At 43.5% G+C, this 22,279-nt stretch overlaps 1 protein-coding gene and 1 pseudogene across 10 annotated transcripts in view; one reads left to right on the forward strand and one right to left on the reverse strand.

The window, feature by feature from the left end:
• RGL1 (ral guanine nucleotide dissociation stimulator like 1) overlaps positions 1–22,279 on the forward strand; it is a 292,424-nt gene that overhangs the window by 53,581 nt on the left and 216,564 nt on the right. For 4 of the 10 annotated variants that reach the window (XM_011509339.4, XM_047415682.1, NM_001297669.3 and 1 more), the window contains exon 2: positions 7,714–7,823. The exons of 5 other annotated variants lie outside the window; for them this stretch is intronic. The gene's annotated coding sequence lies outside the window, so the exon portion shown is untranslated. Of the gene's footprint in view, positions 1–5,286; positions 5,406–7,713; positions 7,824–22,279 lie in introns of those variants that run through there. One more of the 10 variants, XM_047415677.1, reaches the window with a different exon arrangement.
• LOC100420254 (T-box transcription factor T pseudogene) lies at positions 19,622–20,626 on the reverse strand (annotated as a pseudogene).

Genomic DNA, 22,279 nt, shown 5'->3' on the forward strand with positions numbered 1-22,279 from the left:
ATAGCTCCTGATCACTGCATAACATAGATACAACTCATAAAGTTGTGATTCCTGGCCTCATCCTTGTGGGGCAAGTAGGGGTGGTGGGACAGAGGCTACCCAGAAGATGAACAGAGGGATGGGTTGATTATGCAATAAAAAACATTCATTCAGCTTCTGGCACTGTGCCAGGTGCTGTGGGGGAAACTGCAGAGATGTGAGGTACATTGTATCTGCTTTCAGGGGTTTACCAGTTAGGTTTAAGGGCCTAATTTACCTGTATGAATCATCTAGAGGGAAATTGAAGGCTAAGTTGTAAGACTTGACTGTGTGTCTATGAGGAAGTTAGAAAAGTTAGAAACCCACATGAGTTGAAGGAGCTTGGAAAGGCTTCATGAGGAGCCACAAGTTAATTTGGGCTCAGCAGTATTGACTGAAGGAAGGGCTGATGAAGTGGCAAGCCTTGGGCTAGGTGGGAGTTGAATGGGTGGCTGTGTGGGAATTGGCTTGTGGAGCAGTGTTTACTCTGGGAGACCACAGACACTTTCTACACCTATGGATGGATTTTAGAGATGCTTTGAACCCCTGGAATTATTTGCAAAATGTTGTATGTATGTTTATATGAGCAGTTTTCCAGGGAGAATTCTCAGCTTTGAAAGAAGTAGATGCAGATTTTAAAAGAATGTTACGTTTTGTAGTTGTAATCACGAATAGGTAGCATTATCATTATTTATCTTTTCATGAAGTCTTAAAGAAAGGGAAAAAGGAAGAATTCGATGGGGTAGGGAGGTGAAGGGAGGAGGGAGATTCAGGCTAACAATATAGGTATCAATATTTATTAAATGATCTTTCCCTGAAAGTGTATCACTAACATGCTGTATCTTTAGCTGATTGTCAAAAGAGATCATCTAAGCGATGGAGGCTACACTGCCTGTTTGAGAGAAACTACTGAACTAAAAGTGAATGAAAATGTATCCCATTGTTGCCCAAATGAAAATATACTTAATTCAAAGGCAGAAATAATTTTTAAAAATTGTTAGTGCTAGAAAGATGAGGTACTTATAAAAAAAAAAAAGAATGTATTTCAACCAGATCATGTAAAAGTATGCCCATTCTCCCACTGATTTTTCTTCTACTTGTTAATAGTTTTGCTTTTTATACTTAGCACGTTAGCATATTTGAAGTTTATGACATCAAGTAGTGACTCAAGTTATTTTAATGGAAAGCAAGTCATGTTAAGATCACTTCTTGAACAACTTATGCTTTTGTCATTGACATGATATGCCTAATTGAGGTTTATGTTGTATATATCCTGATTGGGGTTCACTGAGATTTTTGGATTTGTAGATTAAAGTATAAATTAAATTTTGGAACTTTAAAAAATAAAAATAAAAAATAAAAATAAAAATTGTTAGTGCTTTAACCAGCAAACATTATTTTTTAAGGATTATTCTATTTAGGTTTTTGAATGTAGGGATTTGCCTCATAATGAAAAATCTGCATTTCATCATAAAAACTGAATAAAATGAACATGACTTGGTTATTTGCCATAGATGCGGATTCTTTTAATATTGGATGCTCAGTTTGTATAGAAAACATTTGGATTGGAGCCCCTCTTTGGGCCATTGCCAACTAGAGGTTAACATACTAATATATCAGAGATAGGAGTGATGGATTTCTACTTCTGGGTGAGTGTTACGCTATCACATGCCCTGAAGTGATAGCTCTATCATGTTGCAATTGTGAGTTAAGGAGGAAGGAAAGAGATCTATGAAAAAATAAGCTGTTCCTTTGTTTCCTGGCTTGTTCCAAAAAGGATTGCAATAAAAAAGAGTTTCATATTATTGGTTTATGTAATTGATAAGAGCCCAGTAATTGAGGAACAAAAAAGTTGTTAAGTTTATGCAAACGAATAATACAAAAGGGATTTTCCCATAATTCTATCTTTAGGAGAGTAATTAATTGGATAATAGTTAAAGAAGATAGTAATGTTGAGAGAATGAATAGGTATATAAACCTCAATTATATCTTAAACATTAGTAAGCCATATTTTTACATAGAATTCAGTTTAATTGGAGGACCTGAGAAATTTGTTGACACTGGAAACTTGTGCATTTTTGATTTATAAACCTGAAATATGCATAACTAATGTTAATTTAATAATGTTGAATTTTAATAGCCTTAAAGTCAAGCATTAAGAAAAATGCTCAGATCATACAATTTTATGAAAAATAGACTATTCAACTCTTAATGATTCAACATAAAGGGCCACTTCAGTGAATGTTCAAAATGTATTATCACTTCTGTGGTGATCTAATCTTATTTATTGAATCTGGTAACATATATTTATGTATATATGAATATGAGAATCTTAATATATATTTTAATATATATATTATTACATTATTCTGTGTAATATACTTTTTGAGTTCTTAATATCTTATATTTTCTATAAAGTCATATATGTGGCAGATACATATATGGAGATATTTCAGATTATTGTATTGCAAGCTGAGGAATGTAGTATCTTCAGAACTTGCCACTTGCTAGGGACGAGGTTGGAATGAGAAAGTGTATTGGCCTCATGGCCATTCCTAAGTCTTGGGGCCGAAGGCTGGAGGTTGGCCCTAGTGAACAAATTACTTGGAGGATCCAGAAGTGGCTAGTGCACAGGAGACAGTGCAATCCATTCCCAATGGGGAGCAGTGGGTCATGACTGGATGAACCATATACATCATCAGTTCTGAAAATGAGGCTGATTAAAGGGCATTCAGGAGCAGGGTGAATGAAGCTTCTCTGGGGAAGGAGAGAAGGTCCAGGCCTTTGTAAACAGGATTGAGTTTTCTAGGTTGCCCAGTCCCAGGTTGACTTTGGCTGGAATTAAAAGTCATGGTTCAGGTAGTTCACCTTTTATAGTTTCGTGCTTATTAACATAAATTTACTTTTATTTTGAATACATTTTGCTATAATTAGTTAAAACAATTATAGTAACAAGATGCTTAACTCTCACTCTATAAACAATAGCATTATGAAGGGAATATGGAACAAACAACAATCTATTTATGAAGAACAGATCAGTGGTTGCAGCTAGGGTGGGAGCAGTGACTATAAAGGGGTAGCAACAGGAAGTTTCTTGGGGTCATGGAACTGTTCTGGATCCTGATAGCGGTGGTGTTTACACACATCTATATGCATTAAAATTCATAGAATCATCTGCCCCAAAAGTCCATTTAACTATACGATAATTGTTTTTAAAAAGCAAAAAATGCTAGCAGGGAGATAAAAAAAATTTTTTTTTTTTTTTGAGATGGAGTCTCGCTCTGTCACCCAGGCTGGAGTGCAGTGGCACGATCTCAGCTCACTGCAACCTCTGCCTCCGAGGTTCAAGCAATTCTTCTGCCCCAGCCTACTGAGTAGCTGGGACTGCAGGCGTGTGCCACCACACCCGGCTAATTTTTTGTGTTTTTAGTAGAGACGGGATTTCACTGTGTTAGCCAGGATGGTCTCAGTCTCCTGACCTTGTGATCTGCCCACCTCGGCCTCCCAAAGTGCTGGGATTACAGGCATGAGCCACCGTGCCCAGCCAGAAATGTTTAATATATCAAATATACACAACAGAACAAAGTAAATCCTAACAGTCCTAGAAGGCTATAGGAAAGCCAGAGTCCTAAAAGTATGCCATTTGCCTGTTTCTGAATGTCTTAGGTTGGTGGAAGGCACATTTTACCTGGAAGCTGAAAATGATTTGGTCCCCTAGTTCTTCTTTTATCTTGCTTTCAAAAATAGACCTGTCTTCCTTCCTTTCTTCTTTCCTCCCTCTCTTCTCTTTCTTTCGATCATTCCTCCCCTCCTTACTCTCTTTCTTTCTTAAGTTCATGCTATCTGACATGGTGAAGTGGCATTCTAGATTACTTTTTTTTTTTTTGGTCACAAGTGCCTACTGGTGGAAGGGACATGAAGGGAGGATGAGAAGCTGGTCTAGCTCTGCTCCAATCCTGAGGGTGGACAGTTGAGCCAGAATAAAACCAAAAGTGAAGCCTCACTGCTTACCAGAATACACTTGTGTAGTGCCTACACTACCTGTAGGCCTTCCTGTTTCAGGCAGTAAAGTGTTGTTCTGGAGCTGAGCACCTGCTTTGAGTTAGAATTGAGACAGGCACCAGAAGTTGGATGCAGTCCAGACTGATCAGAGGACCCTTGGAATAGACTTTAAGTTGACCTTGACCCTTTAGTCTTCTTTGGATTGGACTTCCCAGGATTACTCTGTCCCTTTGAAAAAATATATTTGTGTCTTGGGCCTGAACCAAATTTTAATCAGTCTCCTAGAAATTGTGAAGGGCTGCTATGGCATGGCACAACATGGCCTGTTTTCTCAATATTGTCTCTTTAACTTCTCATTTACTTGGCAACCTGATTTCTGATTTTCTGAATGGGTGTTGCTGTGGACATTTGCCCAGAAAACAGCTCTGAGTGAGGGACTATCAGAGAGAATTTTATGTCTCTTGGGAAGGGAAAGGTTAACTTTTATTTCCAAGAGGACTGGCTGCATGAGTTCTTGGATGCAGCAGTCCCCAGGAGAGTGCGGTGTGTTGAGCTGTGGCTAGTGTGTGTAGTTCCACACAGGCAGGAGTGGGCTGTGCAGAGCTACTTGTTTACAACAGCTTCCTGAATCTGCTAATGCCAGACTGAGTGAATGAAAGATTAGTTTGAAGTTCTTGACCCATATTCTTTACATTAAACATTGATGACCATTTTTTCTTTCAGTCCTTCCTCTATGTTATTCTGGATTTGAAATCTCTAGCTATGAGATAATATTAACTGAAATTCTTGACATTTGCCAACCCTAGTCACAACCCTTGCTATAGATCATTTCAACATAAAGCATTTGTCTTTTAGCTTGTCTGAAAATATACTGCAGTATGTTGCTGGTGGTAATGGATTTCTTGGAGTTGAACCATTGGGTAGAGGATTTGTGATTGGAGTTTACCATCTGATTTATATGTTCTATGGTCATGATAACTCAGATTTGCAGATCTGGGTACTACTGGGACTGTGGGGCTATTGTGCCTGACTTAATTGCATATTTAAATGTAAGGCTAGAAGTAAAGCTGAAAAAGCAGATGGATTTGGAAAATGAGATTGTCCTGTTTTGAGGTCATATGGAAAGCCAAGAAATTGCTGGAGCAGCTCTGACAGGGATTTCAGGAAAACAGGCTGGTAATATTTCCACTTCTCTCAGCTTGCAGTCTGGCTGAAAATGTAGTAAGATCAGCCTTTTCCAAAGGTCTTGGTATTTCTGCAGCTGTTTTCAGAAAGCCTTGAAAGTGAAAAGCAAAGGAGTCCACAGAATCTCAAGTATCCATGCTCCAATCACTAAAGCTCTTGGATGATCTAAGTGGAAAAGAGCTGAAGCCATGTAAGTGAAGGTGTGTATGACACAGTTCATGTGTGGAGTCTGCTCTTTCAGATATGACATCATGTCTGTGGCCCCCAAAAGCTTCCAGGAAAGCATCGGCTTGACAGCGAGGATGCCAAAAAGTCCTTGATAGGAGCTCTGCACATTATATTTCCACCTTCTATTATTTTAGATTCTTTTTTGTTCCATTCACCTAAGTCAGCTGGGCCATCTGCCTAAGCCAGCCAACATCTCACATTTTCTAATTGGTCTAGTTAGTCCAGGGTTAATATGTCACTTACTATCACTAATGAGAGACTGTACTTGCTAGACTCGTAAAGCATTTTTAATGAATGCTTCCAGTATTATGATTCCTGTTCTACAGAAAAAGAAACCAGGTTTCAGAGAATTTATGTGATTTGTACAAATTATTTGAACAGATTAGTGGATCATGAGGGCTATGGAATGTATATTTTATACTGTCAGCCACCAACTTTCAAGTGGTTGAAGCTCTCCACATATGTAATGTGTTTAAAAGGAAGTTTAAAATAATAGAAATGACTAGATTGTGTCAGTGATTTTTAAATATTCTGCAAATGAAACTTAAGTAAAAGTTCAATATGTTAAAGCTACAAGTTCTATTTTAGCATGAATTTATTTCACAAGTTCAGGTTTCTAATAACTACTTATCTTCAAATTAACCAGTAACATTAACGAAGCTATTTATGAACACAAGTATTTGAAATCTAGATTTGTAGATGTGAGTTGGAGCCTTAATATCTAATATATTTTAAAGTTTTGTTCGGTTGTCCCCCACTGAAAAAAAAAACTGATTTACAGATAAATTCTTGAAAATAGGTATAATTTTCTTAAAAGCTAAGCCTACTGAAAATATTATTCAATCTGATTGAATCAGACACTTGAGAAATTATTAACAGGTAGTTTTGGACCCACTTTGAATCACTATCTAACTATACCTGAAAATATTCATTTTTCCTCTTCTCTCCTAAGCCCAGTCCAATTACCATCCTCTGAAACAGCATTTGTCAAGGTCCCTAGACCTCTGTGTAGCCAAATCTGTCCATAAATTCTCAGTTCTCACTTCATGGGACCCATCATCAGCATTTGACACTCTTGATCACTCCACTTACTCTCCAAGGCTCGCGCTCTCCTGGCTTTCTTCCCATCTCAAAGGCCACTTCTCAGCTTCCTTTCTGTGCCCCCGTCATTGTCCTGACTATCTCAAACTCCCTATCAGTCCTTTTCAACCATGGTTTCTCATCTGAACCAAGGACACAAAAAATGATTCCAGAGAATATTTTCTCAACTTTTTCCAAGGAAAATAACTAGTTCTAGGTGCATAGGAAGGAAGTTAATCCATCACATACAATGGGTGCCTTAGGGCTTTGTCTTAATGTTTCTTCACATAACCTCAGTTGACAAAGGTTGCCAGCCTCAATCCACAAACATTAGGCATCTGATGCATTTTCATGACCTTAACTCCATCTATATATTGACAACTCCCAAATTTATATCTCCAGCCCAGGCCTCTATCTGAACACAAGATAATGTTCTCTCCAATTTGATGCAACCTCTTGTAAATATCTGACATCTCAAACTTCTCATGTTCAAAAACAAAACCCGATCTTTCCCCCAAAAACTGTTCCACTCAGAGTTGTCATCTCTCAGGCCCCAAATTTTAGTCATCCCTGAACTTCTGGTCTTTCTCTCACATCTTTCATCCAATCCTTTGGCAAATCCTACTGTACCTATGTTTCAAATACATCCAGAATCTGACCAATTCTTGCCACCTTTACTTCTACCACCCTGACCTAAGCCACATCATTCTCTAGAGCTTGAACTATTCTAGTTGCCTCCTAATTGGCCTCCCTGCTTTCATTGTTGGACCTCTACAGTCTATTTCAAACACAGCAGCCAAATTGATCCAGTCCTTTGCTCAAAATTCTCCAGTAGCTCCCAATTACAATATGTATGGTAAAAGCTGGAAACCTTACAATGGCCTACGTGATCTGTAGTGCCTCTTTCCTGACTGCTGCAGTCTTTTTGCTGTTCTTACAATACATTGAGCAACTTCCACCCAGGGCACTTTCCCCTGCTCCCGCCCCAAACCCCCATGGCTTACTGCTCATTTCTTTCAAGTCTTTGCTTAGATGATACCTTATCAGTGAGGCCTTTCCCTCCCAACCTTTTAAAAATTGTAACGGCCCTAATCACTCACTATCCCCATTCCATTGCTTATTTCTCCCTATTGTGTTTATTATTTTCTAATATTTTACATGGTTTGCTTATTTATTTTTATTGTCTTCCTTTTCTACTAGTGTGCAGTTTCCTCAAGGGCAGAGATTTTGTCCATCTTGTCCACTACTATATGCCAAGTGTTTGGAACAGTTTGCACGGAGGAATGGTTCCTGAATGAATTGAATGCATGGTGAGCGTTTAATTTGAAATTTGAAATGTGATTAATGGAATTTTAATCATTTTAAATTCTCCTTGTATTGCACAAAATGCTTCTTAAATGCACGTTGTAACATCATGAGATAGTCAATCCAGATACCTCAGTGCCCACTCCTGCTAAATATTTACTCAAAGGTTAAAAACTGTCATTGGTTTTGTATGCTGAGGCCAAATTTGAATTTTTAGTTGCGTGCTGGTACTTCATCTGCAGATGTAGGTATCATGCATTTCAACCCTACATTGCTAGGTTAATCTAATTGAGTATATTGAAAATATCAGTAGGATTCCAAGTATCTCAGTTCTCTCCCTTCCCCACTGTACTCTGTGTGAGTTGTAGCGGGGCTGGTCCCTGCAGGTTGCATTTCTCTTGGTTGGGCATCTTTCTGTCTGTGTTGACCTAATTGCAGGCAGTAATGCATGATGAGAAGCAGCTTGGAGAAGCCAGGGTATTTTCCCCTCCTTGTCTGCTGCTGTCAGCTTCCTGCCATGGCCACAGCTTCTGTCAAATGATTCCATCCTAGTGTGTGAGCCAGCTCACACCAGTTCATGAGGGACAATTTTGTTTATTTTTTTCAACTCCACGTTTATGTTTTTCCAACTCCATCAATATCACATTGATGACTTAAAATAGGCCAAATCCTGGCTTTCCACTGACAGAGAACCAATTTGTTAAACATTGACCAGCACACCCTGGTGGGCTCAGCCCTTGCGTTCTGTAACACCCCTTTTTCCTTTTCTCTCTGGTCTAGGAGTGGTAGTGGCTTCCAACTGTTGCTAGTCCCTGGCTTATTCACTCTTCCCTGTTTAGGACTCAATTCCTTGGTCACCTTTGTAAAGAATTTCCTGCATTAATTCTCTTCCCTTTTAGAAACAGGAAATGATTTCTGTTTTCCTATACTTTGATACAATGCCTAAAATAGAACAACCATGCTATGTTTGAGTGAACTTGAGAGAACCTTTAGCAGCAATACAAAACAAAAATCTTTGTCTCATCTGAAATATTTGCACCAGTGCCTTGCCTTGGAACACATAAAAATACTTTGATACAAAAAGTAAATTTCTGATCTCATTGCCAAAATTATTACACATTATTTTGAAATGCTACAACTTAAAGACAGCACTCTAATATAGTTAACACTTAACATGACATTATCCAATATAGTTTTAAGAGATGCTGCCATTTTGTTACCTCCTAATACTTGTTTCTGAAGCTTATAGGAACTACTTGAATACTTTTTTTCAATTGCTTTTCTTATAAGTCATTTTCAGTTGCTTTCCTATGGCTTACTCATCATTTGTAGACTTGGTCACGTTGTGAATGAGTTACTTCATGGTATGTTCAAAGTCATTTAAATATCTCCCTCTGTTTTGATGTATGTATTGAGTGTTTTTCAAGGCTATAAACTCCCTTAGGTTTGGCCACAGGAACAAAGTGTACAAAAATGGAGAATAGGAAGAACTATAACATCCATACTCTCATTTAGTTGAATTATAAAGATTTTAGCTGTCTTATTCATCACATATGTTGGATGCCCAGTCTTGGGTGCTGTGAGCTGTGATATCTGACAATGGTACCAATATTTCAGAGGCAGGGAAGCCTGGTCATTTAACACATTCACTGTGGGGTCAGTAGCTCAGGAGGTAATAGGGTTCACCCAGTGTGTTTCCTTCACATGTGTTGATGTAACTTACCCTGAACAATGTTTTTAAATTCATTTTTACCATTTAAATACTACTGGTCCAGACTGAGTAAGCATCCTTGAAACTATATTGTAGTCCCATCTACAGTCCTACATCAAGGCTTGTTCCAAAATTGCTCCAGGTCGTAGACTTGGACTTTAACTCCATCTTTATCTCTATGCCCACCTTACAGAGTCCTCTAAGGAATGTTCTAGAGAGCCCATCTTTCTGTATAATCAGTCTATTTAGAGTGGAGCAAGTGATGAAATTTAATGTGAAAGATTCCTTGATTTTCATATTATCCTATTGTCTGAAGATTCTGATCAATCTAATAAATATGCAGGTTAGGCCTAGTCTGGTTTTCTTTATCCAGGATCCCTTCTATCCCCAGCTAGAGCCACTAGATCACTAAATCAATCGTATGTGCAGGCTGCCTCTGATTTATTTCCCTCGCTGCTGCTGGCCTGCCCCTGCCTTTTAGCCCTGATTGGAATGTTTCAATGTTTGCTTTGTTCTAATACTCTGTCCCTTGTACTCTCTTTTAAATAACCAGCCTCTGACTGTCTTGGTTCTTGTTTACCCACCTTTTCATCAGCCCCTTCCTCATTCTTCAAGCCCAAATTCCAGCTTGAAGTCTGGGTTCTACAATCTGTTGACAGACTTCCTCGAAGCTTATGATCTGCATTCCTGACCTTCCTAGGAGTGTCTACCTCACAATTTTCTGATGTTATGTTGTGCAATGACACCTCATTTTGTTTGTTTTTGCTGTTGCTGACTGGACCATTGTATATCAGATGTGGTGTTTTGCCTGCCAGACCAAGCCTTCCCGTATTGCATGGGAGTATACTAGTGGCTGTGACCAGACTGATTTTAAGTTCTAATCCCTCTTCCCACTCCTACCCTCAACCTGCTCAGACCTGACAAAGTAATAGGGAATTGCCCACCCATTTAAGTCCCATAAAAAGCCATACTGCACCACTAGCCACTTCAATTATGATGAGTGGTTTTATGGGAAGAAAGGAATTGTAGGCTGATGATAGTAGCTTTGTTGAGTTGGTAGCACTGGATCCAGTCTCTGAGGGAAACATAATGGTTGGATTTCAACTTTGTAGTATTATTCCAGGAGCATCTGTATAGTATCATAAATATGGGATCTCACATGACGTCTTCCTGTGTCTCAGAAAAATGGACAGAAAGCAGGTTTCAATAATCTTTTTTTTTTTTTTAATTTGACTTTAAGTTCTGGGATACATGTGCAGAATGTGCAGTTTTGTTACATAGGTATACGTGTTCCATGGTGGTTTGCTGCATCTATCAACCTGTCATCTAGGTTTGTTTTTTTTTTTTGGCAGAGTCTCACTCTGTCACCCATGCTGGAGTGCAGTGGTGTGATCTCGGCTCACTGCAACCTCTGCCTCCCGGGTTCAAGTGATTCTCCTGCCTCAGCCTCCTGAGTTGCTGGGATTACAGGTGCACACCACCACACTTGGCTAATTTTTGTATTTTTAGAAGAGACGGGGTTTCACCATGTTGGTCAGACTGGTCTTGAACTCCTGACCTTGTGATCCGCCCACCTCGGCCTTCCAAAGTGCTGGGATTACAGGCTTGAGCCACCGTGCCTGGCCTGTCATCTAGGTTTTAAGCCCCACATACATTAGATATTTGTCCTAATGCTCTCCCTTTCCTTCCCCCTGAGCCCCTGACAGGCCCCGGTGTGTGATGTTCCGCTCCCTGTGTCCATGTGTTTTCATTGATCAACTCCCACTTATGAGTGAGAACATGTGGTGTTTCGTTTTCTGTTCCTATGTTAGTTTGCTGAGAATGATGGCTTCCAGCTTCATCCATGTCCCTGCAAAGGACATGAATTCATTCTTTTTTATGGCTGCAAGATTAAAGAATCTTTTGCAACAGATGGGGAAATTGAGATTTAGATTGATCAATTGTTGCCCTTGAGATCACACACAGATTTGTTGATAGGATAGATCCTAGGTTTTGGTTTTGGGGAATAACAATCCACTGTCCCAGGGACTTCCAACCATTTGATGAAAGAATGGTTTTTAGTTCTCTGAAGCCTTAAGGTAATTTAATTTCAGAGCTGGTCTGGAACTGACCTTGGAGATTGCCTGGTTATTAGTCTAAACCCTCATTTTCAAGGTACTGATGACAGAGAATAGGAGGTGTGTTCCATTTCCCTACCCCGGATTGTATGACTGATGGGAATGGAGAGGTAGAGTAGGACAGAGGTGTATGGTCTATCAAGAAAGGCTTGAAGTCCTCTCTCAATCTTTTGTGCAACCAGTTTTATTAAATGGATGGAATTCAATGGGAAGTGAAATAGGGAACAACCTCTACCCAAAATCCCACCCCACCCTCCACTGCCTTCAATAATGTTAGGCTCTTAATTTTTCCATTTTTCTTTTTTAAAATAATATTTTATTGGCCGGGTGCAGTGGCTCATGCCTGTAATCCCAGCAGTTTGGGAGGCCAAGACAGGCAGATCACAAGGTCAGGAGTTCGAGACTAGCCTGGCCAATGTGGTGAAACCCCATCTCCACTAAAAATAGAAAAATTAGCCGGGCATAGTGGCAGCCACCTGTAATCCCAGCTACTCGGGAGGCTGAGGCAAGAGAATTGCTTGAACCTGGGAGGCAGAGGATGCAGTGAGCTGAGATTGCACCATTGCACTCCAGCCTGGGTGACAGACCAAGACTCCATCTCGAAAAAAATAAAATAAAATAATATTTTATTGTTTTTTGCATAATGTCTTTATTTTGCAGAAAATGCTTTCTGCTTATTGTCTTTGGCTACTTTGTCAAAACTCTAGGTATGTCAACTCTAGCTATGATACCTGACACAAAAGAAGCCTGAACATTACTTGAAAGCAACAAGGAAGAGAATGAAAGTTTGTTTTTTATCTCACTAAAGTAGGACCATTGTTTACAAATTCTGGTATGCCAAAGTCATCTATATGCTATATGAGAAACAAACAAGAAGTTTCTGGACCCTAGTGAACAGTTTTTTTTTTCTGTGAGTCATGGTGAATTACGCCCAACTGCATTGCTTCCAGCCTTGAATTCACCTAGATGACTCAGGACAACACTGCCACTGCAGATTACCAGCAAAGTGGGAGGTGGTGATGGGACTTTTTGATAAATAGTAGAATATGTATTCCTTCTTCTATTTTAAAATGAAGTTAATAAGGCTTTATTTCCTTCCTTTGACCCATGCGACTGCCATTTTATACCTAGTAGATCCATCAGATGAACGCTGGTTGCAAAGTCATTGCATATTTCAAGACATAGGTCTTGATTCACATGGAAGGTGGTGACATGGCTGTCTATGAGGCTACCAGTAAGGTTGGGCTGAGGCATTGTACTGGCTGTCAGGCGTGTCTGTGTCTGTGACAGTCCCTTCATACAGTGGGGATCCTAGAGCTAGTAGATGGATTGGTGTTATGACTCATGGGGCACATACTGATGTGGGCAGGCATTCGAGGCTGGACCAACTGACAGGGGATTGGAGCATGGATAAACACACAGATGAATTGTCAGAATTGTAAGGCTCTTGTATCGGTTTGAACCCTGAAAGCGCACCAACGAACAACACAAGGCGGTGTGGAGCAACACGCTGTTTTAATGTGTGCCTGGGTGCAGACGGGCTGAGGCTTAAAAGGGCATCAGCACCAAATGCGGACAGGGTAGCAGTTTTATAGTCTCCTGTAAACAGGAAGTATCTCAGTCTGATGTAACTGCTATGCAGTACCTGGACAGCAGTACCTCTCTCGGTCTTCAGGGGGTACATGTCTTCCGGCCAGTTCTCTTCCTGCTTCTGCCATCTTGCTGACAAACACTGTTGGCACAAGTGGTCTTGTGCCTTGGGACTAGGCCTCAGAAGTGAGGAGTTATTCACCACCACCTCCCCCCGCCGGCTTCCAGGCCCTGGGGAAAGTCTTTCATTCTTGTCTATTTGGTTATAGAAAAAGGGAAAAGCGACGACTTTCTCAATAACTACTTCAAGCGTGACATAGGGGGTGGTGTGGCCACCTTGGAAACAAAAACTTAATTTTGGGGGTATTTTTGAGAGATGGGTTGGTATTCATCATGTCGTTGCAGCAGGAGCATCGTCTGGATTGTCTGGTGGTTAACTATGGTTTCAACAAGACTTTTATTAGCTTTTATTATTAGTGGGATAATACAGGGGAGAAACAGGAGGAGCCCAGTGATGAAGATTACTGTCCCTACCAGCATTTTAAATCCTCTTAAATTAGAGAACCACCCTCCTAGAATGTTTGTTGGGTCCCATCCCTTCCAGGTTTGGACTGGTACATGGGCTACTTTTCTGATGTTTGAAGCGATTTATAGTACTGTTTTTCCATTATCGTCTATGTTAAGACAACAATTGGAGATATTAAACTTACCACAAACCTCACCTTCTGAAGTTGTTTGGAACTACCCACCTGGAGAAAGTACAGACAAAGACTAGAAGATAGTGGAGCTGTTTATCGGGTGGGATGTGAGTGAAGTCTACTTGCCAATCTTGCCCAGGTACCTGTCTCTGGGCTTGGTGGGTAGGAAAAGGCAGTGGCTGGAGGGAGCCCTGGGGTGACACTGAGTGGCAGATAGAGCAGGACTGGGTGATTTCTTGAACACAGCTGGAAAGGTGAGGACAAGTGAGAATAGGGCGGAGAAGTTGTAAGAGAGGTTTGGAACTGACATGGAAAAGTTGTGGAGACTTTGGGGGATAGGGATTGTTTGAGAGTGAGGAAGAACGAAGCGCCCTTCCTTGACCTACCATGGTCCTTGCTTTTGAAGGTTTTGGGCTCAGAAGTCCTCCTTTTCTTCCGAGGATTAAAGAGGAGAGAACAAGGACAGGGACAAAAACTGGCCTTGCACAGGTTGTAGGTGTACTTGTTTGGCTACCTAATCTGCTAGTGCATTTCCAGCTGCTATAGGATCGTATGGAGTTTGGTGGCCTCTGCAATGAATGATGGCAACTTTCTGTGGGAGCCTGGCAGCTTGAAGGAGTTTGTTGATGAGAGAGCCATGTATGACAGGAGTGTTTTTTGCAGTTAGGAAACGCTGTTCTTTCCAGATGGAAGAGTGTGAGTGCACTATGTGGAATGCATAATGAGAATTTGAATATATGTTGATCTGTTGTCTGGCTGCTAGAGTGAGAGCTTGAGTGAGGGCAATGAGTTCAGCTTTTTGGGAGGTGGTTCTTAGAGGGAGCATATTGGCTTCAATAGTGTGTGGGGGGTGACACTATAAAATAGCCAGCATGTTGGTGTCCTTGATGTAGGAAGGAGCTGCCATCTACAAACCAAGTAAAGGAGGCATCTGGAAGGTGTTGGTCTGTTAGGTTTGGAAAATGTATAAGAAATGTTTGAACAGTGTTCACACAGGAGTGCGTAGGGTCTTGGGTGGTTGTAGCTTCAGGTAAGAGTGTAGCCAGGTTTAGACAGGAGCTGGTTAGCATGGTGATGTGGGGAGTTTCTATGAATAGAGCATAGAGTTGGAGGAGCTGTTGGGCAGAGATGAGACTTAGTACACTGCAGTGAGCTAGCATGTCTTTGATGTTATGGGTTGAATAAACTGTTAGGTTGGCATGAAGAGATAGTTTTAAGCTTTCAAGGGTGAGGATAGCAGCTGCCGCCAATGCTTGGAGGCAGGCAGGCCATCCAAGAACTGTGGCTTCAAGCTGTTTAGGCAACAACCTGGAAGGTGGGTCCCTTAGACTGGGTTAGAACACTTATTGCAACTCCACATCATTCATTGGTGTAGAAGGAGAAAGGTTTGGTGAGGTCTAGGTCTGGGAGAGTGAGGACGGGGGCTGAGGCGAGAGCCTTCTGGAGTAGACGGAAAGGTTAGGTAATAGGCAGTGCAGGGTTTAAAGGCTCATGGAGAGGGCCTTTAGTGGCTTGGTATAACGGTTTGGTGAGTAGAGTGAAGGAGGGAACTCAGAGCCTAAAATATCCTGCTAGTCCTAGAAAAGAGATAATTTCTTGCTTAGTTTGTGGAGGTGGGAGGGACTGGAGGAGGGATATGCCATCGGTTGTGAGCCCTCGGGTTTGCGGGGTAAGAGCTAGGCCTAGATAGGTGACTGGGGGGGTGCTTATTTGTGCTTTCTTAGGGGAGACCTGATGCCCCCATTCTGCCAAGAAGTTTAAAAGAGAGATGGTATGGACATTGCAGTCTCTTTGAGAGGGTCTACATAGGTGTAGATCATCAACATACTGAAGGAGAGTGGATGGTTTTAGGGATAAGGTACAGAGGTCACGAGCCAGGGCCTGCCCAAAAAGGTGGGGGCTGTCTCTGAAACCTTGAGTTAGTATGCACCAGGTAAGCTGATGTGAAAGGTGGGTGTCGGGGTTTTCCCATGTAAAGACAAAGAGGTTTTGGGAATCAGGGTGTAAAGGAATTGTGAAAACAGCATCCTGTAGGTCTAGAACAGAAAAACAGGTGGTGTTGGAGGGAATTGCAGAAAGTAAAGTATATGGTTTAGGAACTACTGGACATACTAGGGGTATGGCTTGGTTAATGAGCCTGAGGTCCTGGACTAAGCAATAAGTTCCATCTGGCTTTTTGACAGGTAGAATTGATGTGTTAAAAGGGGAGTCTGTTGGGCAGAGTAGGTGACTGACAAGGAGGTGAGAAATGATAGGCTTTAGGCCTATGAGAGCTGCTTGGGGGATGGGATACTGCTTCTGTGATAGGAACTGGGTGGGGACTTTAAGAGTAACGTGGACAGGGGTGTGGTGTTTTGTGATTGAGGGTGTGGAAGTATCCCAAACAGTGGGGTTAACTATGGATGGGGGATAAGGAAAGGTTGCATGTTTTAAGGTGGGAGGTTGGAGGAGTAGAAGAAAGTTAGAAGCCCCAGAGGGGTCTGGGTTGATGCGTTGGGTACTATGGGGAATGTGGAAGTGGAGAGTAGTGTGGAGTTTTGAAAGGATGTCTCTACTTAGGAGCAGAGTTGGGCATGAGGGCAGGACTAAGAAAGAGTGAGTGAAGGAAAAGGTGTGCAGGGAGCAGAAAAGTGGAGAGGTGGCTCGGGGTTTGGAGACTTGTCCATCAATTCCCACAACAGAGACTTGGGAGGACTGGGTGGGTCCTGAAAAATTAGGTAAAGCAGAGTAGGTTGCCCTGGTATTAATTAAAAAACATACTGGCCTACCTGCCACCATCAGGGTTACCCTTGGATCACATGAAGAGATGGTAGTTGCCGGGGTGTCTGTTCCAGGGCACTGTCAGTCTTCAGCAGCAAGGCTGATGAGATACGAGTAGGAGGTTTTGACTGGCTCAGGAAGGGATGGGGGCAGTCCTTGTGGGGGCTGCTCACAGTCTGACTTCCAGTTGGGTCCTCCACAGAGGGGGCACAGCCTGGTGGGCTTACCTGGGTTTGGGCATTGTCTGGACCAGTGGCCTTCATTGCCACACTTGAAACAGGCACCAGGTGGAGGTGGATTGCTAGGAGGCTTCTGTGTGGAGCTGCGGCCCCCGTGGGCCCACAGAGCCCCTGATGGCAGAGGCAAGCATTTGAAACTCTGCCTGTTTTTTGCCTTTTACTTTTCTCATCACGATTGTTAAGGACTTTGAAGGCTAAATTAAGAAGGTCTCGTGTGGTTTGAAGGCTGTCGTCAAGCTTCTGAAGCTTGCGCCAAATACTGGGGGTGGATTGGGAGATGAACTGAAGGTTTAAGATAGTGGTTCCTTCTGGGCTGTCTGGGTCTAGGTTGGTATACTTTCTCATGGCTTCAGTTAAACGAGACAGAAAAGGGCTGGGTTTTTGTCGGGACCTTGGGTGATTTCTGAAAGCTTTTCATGGTTGACTGCTTTATGAGCACCCTTTTTGAGTCCTGTAAGGAGACACACAATCATGTGGTCTTGATGGCGGCGTCCAGGGGCCCTGTCTTGATAATCCCAGTGGGGGGCCTGGTTGGGGACTGCCTCTGTGTCACTAGGCTGGGCAGGAGCTTGGTGATGAATTGTATCAGCATGCGCCTGAGCTAGGGTCCAGATACGGTCCCAGTCTTCTGGGGTGAGGGTGGAAGAGAGGATAACATAGAGGTCATGCCAGGTTAGTTCATAAGACTGGGTGAGGTACTGAAACTCTCTAATATAAGAGGTAGGATCTTCTGGAAATGAACCGAGTCTTTTGTTAATTTGAGAGAGATCAGTGAGGGGGAAGGGAACATGAACTCTAACAATATCTTTAGTTCCTGCTACTTCCCAAAGTGGGCACTCTAGCACAGGCGCTGAAGTAAGCGTGGGGCATGGGCCAAAGATGGCACCTGAGCGAGTATGGGAAGGAGAGAAGGAAGAGCCTGGAAGTGGTTCCTGCTGAGGGTTTGAATGGGGAAAGGGGGGTTGAGTTAACAGGCAGTGGAAGATAGGGGCGTAAGGTGGCGGGATGAATTTGCAAGCCTCAGGAGAGGGCGCTGGGGGAGGACAATGGGTACAGGCAATTCTAGAATTGTCCTGAGGAGGGGACGGTGTAGAAAAAGAAGTGAATACAGCTGACTGGGAAGATGGCAGCTGGGAAGATGGCGGCTGAGAAGCTAAAGAGGAGGCTTGGGGGTTAAAGAAGATGGTTGAGAGGGGAGAGGTAGGGGCTGGGAGAGGTAGACAGCAGACTGCTGGATCAAACAAGGAAAAAGAGGTGGGGTGGGGAGGAGGAAGGCGATCTGGGTGGTGAGAATGGAGGAGAATGATTTGAACAGGTGAGCAAGAATTGCAGAGGTCAGGTTGTGATCTGAGTGCAAAAAGGCCTGGACATAAGGAATTTCTCCCCATTTCTCCAGTTGTCGGCAATAATTGCTTAAATTAGTTAAAATTATAAAGTCGAATGTTCCATTTGTGGGCCATTTGGACCTGTTATGTAATTCGTACTGTGGCCAGATTGAATTGCAAAAAAAGACAAGGCGCTTAGGGCGGATATCTTGCATGAGGCCTAAGGTCTGCAGGTTTTTTATGAGGCAGTCTAGAGGCTGCCTTTTGGAATGGAAGACTGGGAATTTCCCATAACGGAGGGTAGGCTCGGGAGAACAGGGAAAAGGAGACCATCCTGGACGGCCGGAGGGAGATGATAAAAGGAGCGATCGTCACTGCTGCCTTTTTCAAGGCCTTGTTCATGTTCCCTTCCCCCTCACTGATCTCTCCCAAATTAACAAGACTTGGTTCATTTCCAGAAGACCCTACCTCTTATATTAGAGAGTTTCAGTGCCTCACCCAGTCTTATGAACTAACCTGGCATGACCTCTATGTTATCCTCTCTTCCACCCTCACCCCAGAAGACTGGGACCGTATCTGGACCCTAGCTCAGGCGCATGCTGATACAATTCATCACCAAGCTCCTGCCCAGCCTAGTGACACAGAGGCAGTCCCCAACCAGGCTTAGAGGCATCCCCCTAAGACCAGATGATCAGTGAGTGCCTGGCACATGCCAGAGCCTTCTTGGACCAACATTGGATCTTTGGATTGGAGAAACCAAGAGAGGCCACGTGGATTTTTCTCTGTTAACCCGGCTCCTGGGAAATTTATCAGTAGATGAGATCAGTGACTGGTGTGCATGCACAGAGAGGTGACTGGAGGCTGAGGAGCTTCCTTTGTCCGGTTGCTGTGGACTACCGTCCAGGGTGGAAGGACACAAGGGACGCGGACCGGGGCCCCTTCCAGATTTCGGCACCAGATGTAAGGCTCTTGTATCAGTTTGAACCCCGAGAGCGCGCCAATGAACACCACAAGGCGGTGTGGAGCAACGCGCTGTTTTAATGTGTGCCTGGGTGCAGATGGGCTGAGACCTAAAATGGCATCAGCACCAAATGAGACCGGGCAGGGGTTTTATAGTCTCCTGTAAACAGGAAGTGCCTCAGTCTGATGTAACTGCTACAGGGTACCCGGACGGCCTCTCTCTCAGCCTTCAGGGGGTACGTGTCTTCTGCCGGCCGTCTCTCTTCCTGCTTCTGCTGTCTTGCTGATGCACGCTGCTGGCGCAAGTGTTCTTGCGCCTTGGGACTGGGCCTGAGAAGGGATGAGTTATTCACCCCCTCACCCTCTTCCCGCCCAGCTTCCAGGCCTCAGGGAAAGTCTTTCAAGAATGTGTTGGAGAACTGTTCCAGTGAGCACAGGGCTAGGGTAGGAGGATGAATGTTGGTTCCTCAGGGCAGGGTACCTTTCACAGCTGTATGTGGAAGGAAGTGAGGGAGGCCTCCAAACTGAGGATGGGGGTTGGCAGGTGGACAGAAGGTACTGGTTCTAGGAATAAGCTACCCACTGAATGGGAGTTCCTAGATTGGGGTTCTTCCTGGCTGCCTTGGAGTTCTTCCATCATATCTTTGTAATTGCTTCTTTCCTTTGCATCCAGGGAAGCTTTTGCAAATGGATTGTGTTTAATTTTCAGCTGTGAGCTCTTCATTCTGATAAGCTGTCACAGTTATTTATGAACTAGGTCTCGGAAAGCAATGGCTAGTGATCATGTGTTGTGGACACCCCACTCTCACTATGTGAATTCGAGGCTGGTGCTTATTAAGGAGTTTGACATAATCAGGCCCCCTCTGTGTAGCTAGTTGTTGATCTTGACTTTGCTGAGGGAGATGGACACCTTCATCTAGTAGGGCCCTGAGTTGGGGGAATTGGGCTGGATGGGCACACACCTGAGCACCTGCAGCTCAGGCTTGCCCTCTGGCACCCATTCCTGGTTCCCACTCCTGGTTTTCTTCCAGCGCTTACTGTGGGCCTCCATGAAGTCCAGCAAGAAGGAGTACATGGCTCTTAAAGCCAGGCCAGACATGCTTGGCACTGGAAACAACTTCCTGGCATTCCTGGTGGTGATCATGTCATTGGTGAGCTCCTTGAAGCATAGCCACAACTTGCTCTCCTCCAGGCCTATGTGCCACTTTCACTCTACATGGTCACCCTTCTCAATGCCTGGCTTGTTGCTCACGCTTCATGGCTCTCAGCAGGTGGTCCACTCGGTACTGCAGGCTCTTCGATGCACACTCTTACCAGTGCTGTGGGAGCTCATTCTCCTGCCTGCCTCCCCCGCACCCCCACTTTCTTCTAAGCCCCAACTTGCTACTTGAGAACCATCTTTACCTCTCCAAGACCTATGAAGGTGCCTGGGTCCCTGTATAGACTTGGAGGAGGGTAAGGACGGAGATCTGGTCAGGAAAGGCACTGGTGGTAAGGGGGAAGGTTATCATACTTGAACTCCTGAAAGGCATGACTAGGGCAGACCTCTTGCTCTTTTGTTTTTGCATCCCCTGTTTTTTGGCAGGTGTTTCCCAGGTGTATTAGTCCATTTTCACACTGCTGTAAAGATACTACCTGTGGCTGGGTGATTCATAAACAAAAGAGGTTTAATTGACTCATAGTTCTGCCTGGCTAGAGAGGCCTCAGGAAACTTACAATCATGGCAGAAGGTAAAAGGGAAGCAAGGACATTCTTCACATGGTGGCAGGAGAGGGAGAGAGCACACAGGGGAAACTGCCACTTTTGAAGTATCAGATCTCATGAGAACTCCCTCACTATCAAGAGAACAGCATGGGAAAACTGCCCCCACGATCCAGTCACCTCCCACCAGGTACAATTTGAGATGAGATTTGGGTGAGAACACAGAGTCAAACCATATCACCAGGATCACAGAAGTAGTGGAAGTGGATAACTAGAAGGAAAAGGGCAAAAATCCCTTGCTTATCTGGGTGCCATCTTTCTCTTGGCCCTTGATGCTTTCCAGATGTGACATGCTTACATATGTCTTCTCTCTCCTGAGCTACACTTCTGCATCTTTGGAGGCCTCTCACTTGGGATGTCTCTGCTTTACCCTTCTTTGAATTTATCCTGAGCTCCTGCTCCTGGAGGTTGACCCCACAACCTGTTATTGAGTCAGCCCTTTTAGGCCGGGTCACACACGATGTCTCAAGGCTGGGTTACCCTTTGCAGTGTGCACTCAGATCCTGGGCAACTCACATCGTTATGCAAAGGGTAGCCTGCTGCACACCCTCTGCACTCTACTTTTGCACACTGGTTCCAACCAACTCTTCAGTGAGAAGCAGAACCCAAGCTCTGTGTTCATAGGCACCCAGATTCCAGAGGACATCTGTCATTTTCTCTCATGAACTGTCCCTGGATGTAGTTCAATGACATTCAGCCCATGGAGCCTGCAGTCTCTCCCAGCCTCAGTGAGCAGTTTTCTGGGAGCCCTCCAACTCTCCCACCCACCACTGCACTTAATGAGTATGTAGGAGGTGTTGGGGGGTGAGGTGACAGAGAAGCACTCTAGAGAGGAGTGAAATACTATAGCCCACTCTTACTGGGTCTTTCCAACCGCCTCTTAAGATTAGTAAGGTTGAATGGGGTACAAAGGTGAGAGTCTAGGGGCCTTTAGTTTTCCCCTTGGAAAGCCTTGGAGGGGAATTCATTCCATGTCCTGTTATAATTATCTGGAGAGGTCAGCTCTACATTCAATTGAACCTGTGAGTGGATTTGGCAACTGTCTTGAGCTTAGCCCTGGTTGCCATAACTCATTAAGTTTCTCACAAGCATTTACTATGTTAACAGAACGCTGGGAATGGGGTGTGGGGGCGGGCGGAGAAGAAGAAGACATTCACAGTTAACACCTCTGATGACATCTCTGATAGCAAATAGATACTATTACAAGACTCTATCCACCCAAGAGCTAAATCGTTAGTCACAGATGCAAAGTGCTGTGTGGTCTTGAGTAAGCCTCTCAGTTTTCCCATCTATAAATCTA

Source organism: Homo sapiens, chromosome 1, assembly GCF_000001405.40.
Source record: "Homo sapiens chromosome 1, GRCh38.p14 Primary Assembly".
NCBI classification, from domain to species: Eukaryota; Metazoa; Chordata; class Mammalia; order Primates; family Hominidae; genus Homo; species Homo sapiens.